The sequence below is a fragment of the Homo sapiens genome, chromosome 14, assembly GCF_000001405.40.
Source record: "Homo sapiens chromosome 14, GRCh38.p14 Primary Assembly".
Lineage (NCBI taxonomy): Eukaryota > Metazoa > Chordata > Mammalia > Primates > Hominidae > Homo > Homo sapiens.
In genome coordinates, this window is record NC_000014.9 from 43,296,669 (window position 1) to 43,304,688 (window position 8,020).

Genomic DNA, 8,020 nt, shown 5'->3' on the forward strand with positions numbered 1-8,020 from the left:
CACTTTTTCAATAATATAGCCTTCAGGACATTTATTTTTGAAGTTTTTAGTGAATGTTCTTAAGTGTTAATACTAAACATTTGCACTTCATTCATATGTAGGTGGGAGTATTTAATCTTCCTCAATATAAAAAATTATAATTTTTAAAAACATTTTACATACTAGTTTTATAATGACAGTTCAACTTGAAATAAAGTTTAGCATTTTAAAATTAAGGAGTGTGGCTGAAAGAAAATTATTAAAATTAAATTTATGATACTACTCTATAGCATTAAGTACCTTTATATAATTTTACACGTGTATGACAATTTACAAAATTTTAAAAATTACAGATGTTTTCAAATGAATCTAACTTATTACATTAAAGAAGTTCTGATTTTACCATACTCAGTTAGATTTATACTCTGTTATTGGGAAACTAAGACTGCTAGAAAATGTCCTCCAGTAAAATGATAATAAATGTTGAACAGAATGAAAAAACCTCCTAGAGGCACTGAAGAGTAAACAAAGTAGAAACAGACACACAGTCATTGGAGGTACACACTGGAGGAAGCAAAAAGGGGCTGTAAAATATGAATTTTTTTGTCTTTTAGCCTTGGGCTAAGGACAATTGGTATACTGTGTGCATTAGGCAATTCGGGTGACAATAAATCAAAAAAAAAAAAGTAATTCTACTCTAGGAATCAAAAAACAAAACACACACACACACACACACACAGACAAAAAGAAAAGAAAAGAGGAAAAGAGTACTGAAGAAACTGAGCATGCTGAAGAAAGTCAGGAAATCTTGGAATTCAGAGAAGGAATACCCCCAACATTTCTGACTGACGCATGAACGATGAATTCAGGAATCATTTGCACTTATAATGTTCAGGAATCAATCTGATTTACTCAGTACAAAAAATGAAGAAAATGGAATGCATGTCGTAGATTAAAGACAAAAGCTTGGTTTAATCAGAAATAAACTAGGTGTTAGAAGTGGCATTCAAAAATTTTAAAGTATTAAAAAAATTTTAAGTATTATTTTAGTAACTCTAATTAATTTAAAAGTGATGCGCAATGAATAAGATTCCACAATGAATAAGAAATTTTAGTCATGGAACAGAAAAGATTTAAAGGAATCAAGTGAAAATTCTAGAACTGAAAAATATTTCAAATTTAAAAACAAATGTAAACACTATCTGGATAACATCCAAGGAGAAGACAAGAAAAAAAAAAGAGAGAGAGAGAAAACGAACTTGAAGACAGATAATTAGAAATTGTCCACAGTGAAGAATAAAAAGAGAAAAGACTGAAAAAAATGAACAGAGACACAGAGAATTGTTAGATAATATGTGGCCTAAAATCAGTGTGATTAGAATCTCAGGAAGACAGAAAATAAAGAATGAAAAATAAAAAGAAAAAATTAGAAGAAATAATGACTCACAGTTCTCCAGACTTCATAAAAAAGAAATGAAATAATACAAAGTACTAAACATCAATCAGAATAAGACCAAAGAGGCCCACCCTGAAATACATTATAATACACTGTGGAAATCTAAAAGTAAGAATAAATTTTAAAAGGAACATGTGAAAAATAACATATTAACATTCCAGTTAAATTACCATCTGAATGATAAGTTGATTTTTGGCAGAAACCATGGAGGCCAGAAACAAAGTGTGGCAACACATTTATAATGCCGAAAGAGAAAAAAAAAAAGTTGATCCAAAATTCTATACTCAATTAGTGGAATCATACATTTAAAAATGACTAAGATGTTTTAAAATGTTTTTAAAAATGTTATCTTACCAAACATTTATAAATTTCAGTTAAATTTTTTTTAATAATTCAAGAATATAGACATACAACATTTTAAATGAAGAACTAACAGAACTTTCTGATAGAGAACTTTTATTGTGGGAAATGCTAAAAGCATTTTTTCAGGCTACATGGAAATAACACTAAATAAAAATGTAAATTCTTACATAAGAATAAAAGAGTATCAGACATTGTAAATATCTAGGTAAATTTAAAAAAATTATTTCCTTACTGCTGTCTTAATTGCTTTTAAAACACATAACTTATTAAAGTGAAGATTAAAATACTGTCTTCTGGGATGAGCAATACAGATTGGCCATCCATAATCAGAAAATCATAAATCTGAAATACTCCAAAATAGAACCTTTTTCAGTGCTAATGTCATGCCACAAGTGAAAAATTTCACAGCTGACCTCATATGATGGGTTTCAGTCAAAATGCAGTCAAAACTTTCTTTAAAACTATACAAGTACATGGAAATTAAGCAATCTCCTCCTGAATGATCTTTGGATCAATTAATTTAAAATAGAAATTTAAAAATAAATGTTTGAGACAATTAAAAAGGTAAAACAACATATCAAAACCTGTGGTATACAGAGGGAAATTTATACTGTTAAGTGCCTATATAAAAAAAGATTATAAATTAGCAACATAATGTTGCACCTCAAGAAATTTGAAAAAGAAGAAATTATCTAATGGGAAATCAATTCCAAAGCTAGCAGAAGAGAAATAACAAAGATCAGACTAGACTTAAATAAAATTGTGACCTCCCTCCCGCAAAAGAAAAGGATATGAAGGATCAGTGAAACGAACTGTTGGTTTTTTGAAAAGATAAATAAAAGTGATATACCACGAGCTAGAATAACTGAGAAGAGGGAAGATCCAAATAAGCCCAAGAAGAAATAAAAACCGAGACATTTCAAATGATACCACAAAAATATAAAAGATTATAAGACACTACTATGAGCATCTCCACACTTACAAACTAGAAAAGCTTGAGGAAATGTATAAATTACTGGAAACATAAAAGCTCCCAAGAGTCAACCAAGAAGAAATCAAAATCCTGAACAGACAGTAATGAGAAGTGATATTGAATAAGTAATAAAAATATCTCAACAAAAAATAAGCCGAGAACTGGATGAACTCACAGGATAATTCTACCAAACATAAAAAGAAGAGCTAGTATCGATCCTGTTGAAACTATCCGACAAAAATCAAGGGGAGGGAATTCTCCCTGACGCACTCTAAAATGCCAGCATCACCCTGATACAAAAGCCAGGCAAAATGAAACAAAAAGAAAATTACAAATATTCTTGATTAACAAAGATGCAAAATCCTCAACAAAATACCAGCAAACTGATTATAACAGCAGATTGATAAGGTAATTCACCATGATCCAGAGAGTTTTATTCTAGAGAGGCAAGGAGAGTTCCCCATACACAAATCAATAAATGTGATTCACCAAATAAGCATAATTAAAAACAAAACAATATGATTATCTCAATAAATACAGAAAAAAAATTTCATAAAATTTAACATTTCTTCATGATAAAAACTATCAACAAAGCATGAAAGGAACATCTCAAAATCATAGGAGTCATATATGATGAGCTCACAGCCAACATCATATGTAACAATGGAAAGTTGAAAGTATTCCTTCAAGTAATGTATCAAGACAAGGACGCCCAATTTTTTTACTCTTGTTCAACGTAGTATTGGTAGTCCTAGCCAGAGCAATCAGGCAAGAGAAGAAATTAAAGCCATCCAAATTGGACAAAAGAAAGTCAAATTGAATCCTCCATGGTGGAAATTTCAGAGGAGCCCCTGGGAACCGTGGCGGATATAATAGGAGGGACAACATGCCACAGAGAGGTGGTGGTGGCGGCGGAAGTGGTGGAATCGGCTATCCATACCCTCGTGCCCCTGTTTTTCCTGGCTGTGGTAGTTATTCAAACAGAGGGAACTACAACAGAGGTGGAATGCCCAACAGAGGGAACTACAGCCAGAACTTCAGAGGACGAGGAAACAATCGTGGCTACAAAAATCAATCTCAGGGCTACAACCAGTGGCAGCAGGGTCAATTCTGGGGTCGGAAGCCATGGAGTCAGCATTATCCCCAAGGATATTATTGAATACCCAAATAAAACGAATTGATACATATTACTCCAAAACCTTCACAAGAAGTCGACTGTTTTCTTTAGTAAGCTAACTTTTTAAACATTCCTCAAGAGGAATTGCCTGCGGGTTCCTTTTTTAGAAGCTTTGTGGGTTGATTTTTTTTTCTTTTCTTTTTTGTACATTTTTAATTGCAGTTTAAAAGTGAATCGTAAGAGAACCTCAGCATTGTGCACAATAAGAGAATGTGTCAGTATTTCAGGGTTCTACATTTTATCTGTAAAATTTGACTTTTTTTTTTAAATCAGAAATAAAATGTTGCTTTGTAAAAAAAAAAAAAAGAAAGAAAAAAGAAAGTCAGATTGTCTCTGCTGATGAGAAAGACTCCTCCAAAAGACGCCTAGATTTGACAAATGACTTCAGTACAGTTTCAGGTTACAATATCAACATATAAAAATCAGTAGTATTTAATACAACAGTAACAATCACACTGAAAACCAAATCACACGTAAATCCCATTTACAATAACCACATTCACAAAAATACCTTGGTATACATTTAACCAAAAATATGGATTCAACCTAAATATCCCTCAATGGATTATTGGAAAAAGGAAATGTAATATAGCACATACATAAACACATACACAAACACACATACACCACGGAATACCACTCAGGGGCATAAAAAAAATGAAATCATGCCTTCTGCAGAAATGTTGATGAAACTGGAGACAATTACCTTAAGTGAAATAACTCAGAAACAAAAAGTCAAATACTACATGTTCTCAGTTATAAGTGAGAGCTAAATAATGTGTACATGGACATAGAGAGTGGCATAATAGACACTGGCGAGTCTGAAAGGTGGTAGGGTGGGAGAGGGGAGAAAGAATAAGAAATTATCTAATGGGTACAAAGTACACTATTTGGGTGATGATTACACCAAAATCCCAGACTTCACCACTACGGAAAATATCCTCATGTAATAAAATTGCACTAATACCTCTTCTATCTGTAAAACACACACACATACACACAAATTACACAAACATACTCTAGAAGAAATATGAATACCTTCTATTACTCAAAAGGAATTGAATCAACAATAAGAAACTTTCAAAGACAACTCTAGGCCCAGATGGCTTCACTGGTGAATTGTCAAATATTTAGGGAAGAAAAAATACCAACCATATACTTTGTATTTTCAGAAAATAATGTAGGTTGGAACATTTGCCAACTCAATTCATAAGACCAGTGTTACAGTAATATCAAATCTAGAAAACTATATCAGATTTAAAAAGAACTGCAGACCATTATGCCTCATTGGCAGAGATGAAATCATTCCTAATAAAGTGTTAGCAACTTGAGCTAACACTTTATTTATGTATTTAAAGAAATACATAATGACCAACTGGGATACCAGGGTGGATCAGTTGGAAAGACAATGAGGATAATTAATTATATAATTTTTATGGTGTAAGAATTGATAACAAAATGTGAAGATTAAATGTAAAGATTTACTTTTCAGAGATAGTAAAGGAAATATGGTATAACAACAGGAGCCATATGGAATAAATTCAGGGCAATGATATTTCAAAAAAAATTACTGTTTGTGTGTTCATTGCTACAAGCTCCAAAATATTCCTGAGTAAATTTTTATATCATAATGCATAGAATAAAGGGTTTGAAATCACTTGCCAGTATCTGTAATCATGTTTATTCTATTTCTTAAAATCATATGGTATACTTATTGTCTTCTTTGATCATTTAGGGCTTTGATATTATTCTCAATAATGTTTTTACCTTATTCGTTTTGACTGTTGGAACTTTATTCTTTCATGCCAAATAAGCATTTAAGTATTTTTTAAATCAAGAAGTAAATGTCTTAAACTATTTTTATTGGGATAGGGGTTATATTCTTTTGAAAGACTTGTGATTGGTTCACTAGGCTGAATATTATCTCTTCTTTATAACTTCTCATAAAAAGCACATTTTATATAAGCTAATAGTCTTAAAAGTATAATCAGTAAAAAATAATTATTCTCCTATATGCACGCTTTTCAATAGTTGATTTTAATTGTTACGAATTTTAAAATGTATATGAAATTCTGGTACAGTGATTCTCAAGTGTGTCATATTTTCAAATAAACTATTATTTCTGAAAAAGAAAAATTAAACTGCATTCTTCAGGTAAAAAATTCTTTTTAAACTATGCGTTAATTTTTGTGGCATCAACAATTTCCTAGGTTAAGATATTTTAAACTTATATGTTATTTATTTTAACAGATTTATAAGACACGGACTCTTTTAAGGTAGCCCAGAAGCTTTACACTGCCAATCTAGGATGATAGATGTGTTATATTTATTGGTCAAGAATCTATTCTTATTAATGTTGACTTAGTGAATATGAACAAATTTTAACAAACCTCTTCTTCCATTTCTCTATAGATGTATAACAATTGATGGTCTTTCACATATTCTGATTCACATATTTACTATATCTGCCTTTCACTTTTGGTCATTTGTGTTTGCTCTTTATACACTAGAATGCAGATTTCATGATCACAAGGACATTAATATATTTTTCATAATAATAACTCCAAAATGTAATTAGCAACTAACTCAGTAACTTTTATACACACACACGTACACACACACACAAACACATATATTCTCCATCTATATTGTAAGTTTAAATATTTCCATCCCATATTCTTTGCTAATGCTTTGCAAAAGGATGTCATTATTTTATAAAATTTCCTCTTATTTTTCTAGAGGAATTGGCTAATAGCTGATGCCTTTATAACAACAACCTCAGTATACATAGCAGATAACTATTTTCGAAGCTTACAAAACATTTTTCATTTCTTGATTCTTACAATAGTCCAATACTAAGAAGTGTAAAAATAGTGATAAAAATCTAAGAATCTAAAAGAAGTCATATTTTTATTTCAAATACTGTTCAACCATTTATTAGTATGTGACTTTTGTTTAGTATTTCAACTCTGCACCTCAGCTACTCCATCTGTAAAAAAGGTAGTTTTTAATTTCACAGACTTAATGTGAGTATTAAATGAATTCATCTGTATATAACACTTAACACAATGTCTAGCAAACAGTAAATTTTTAATAAATGTTAAAGAGCAATAGGAGGATTATTAATTTACTTTTATAGGTAAAAAAAGTTTCAGACAATTTAAGTGACTTTTTAAAACTAACACAGTCAGTTTAAGACCACAGAATAGAATTAAATTATGAAAATAACGTATTAGTTTTTTTCTATGTTAATATATTCCAGAGAAAAAACTACAGTTGACTCTTGAACAATACAGGGTTAAGGAACGCCAATCCCAACGCAGTCTAATCTCTGTGTAGAACATTTAACTCCTCCAATACCTAACTACTAATAACCTACTGTTGACCAGAAGACTTACCGATAACATAAATAGTAAATTAACACATATGTTGTATATGTTTTTAAACTATATTCTTATAATAAAATAATCTAGAGAAAAGAAACTGCTACTAAGAAAATCATATGGAAGACAAAATACATTTACTATTGAATAAGTAGATGTGGATTATCATAAAGATCTTCATCTCATCTTCACATTCAGCAGGCTGAGAAGAAGGAAGTGGAGGGGCTGTTCCTGCTGTTTCAGGTCTTGGGGATAGCAGAGGTGGAAGAAACTCTCTATATAAATATACTTGGCAAGTCCAAATCTATGTTGTTCAAGGGCCAACTGTATACATATATTACATAAAAGCTATGAAGATAAAGACTTACAATTCTCAAGATTTTTAGAGTAGTCTGTACATTGACTGGGTCAGAAATCCAGCAAGTACAATTTCAAACTCTGCTTTCTTCAAAATACAGGAAATACAATACTATAAAAGTGATGTACTAAGCATGTTTGGAACTCCAATAAAGTAATAGGAAAAGTTTGGGGTCAAAACTTATTTTGTCTAGGACTGTTTTATCTATCTTTTGTGGATCTTTTAAAATAGATATATGGTTCAAGGATCAGATATTGTGCTTGGAGCTGTACTCTTCTAAATCAAAATTTTAGTTTCATTCTTTCACAAGTATGCCAAGCCTGACTTTTGT

At 30.9% G+C, this 8,020-nt stretch overlaps 1 pseudogene; it reads left to right on the forward strand.

Annotated features, from left to right (window-relative positions):
* Positions 3,600-4,241, forward strand: HNRNPUP1 (heterogeneous nuclear ribonucleoprotein U pseudogene 1; annotated as a pseudogene).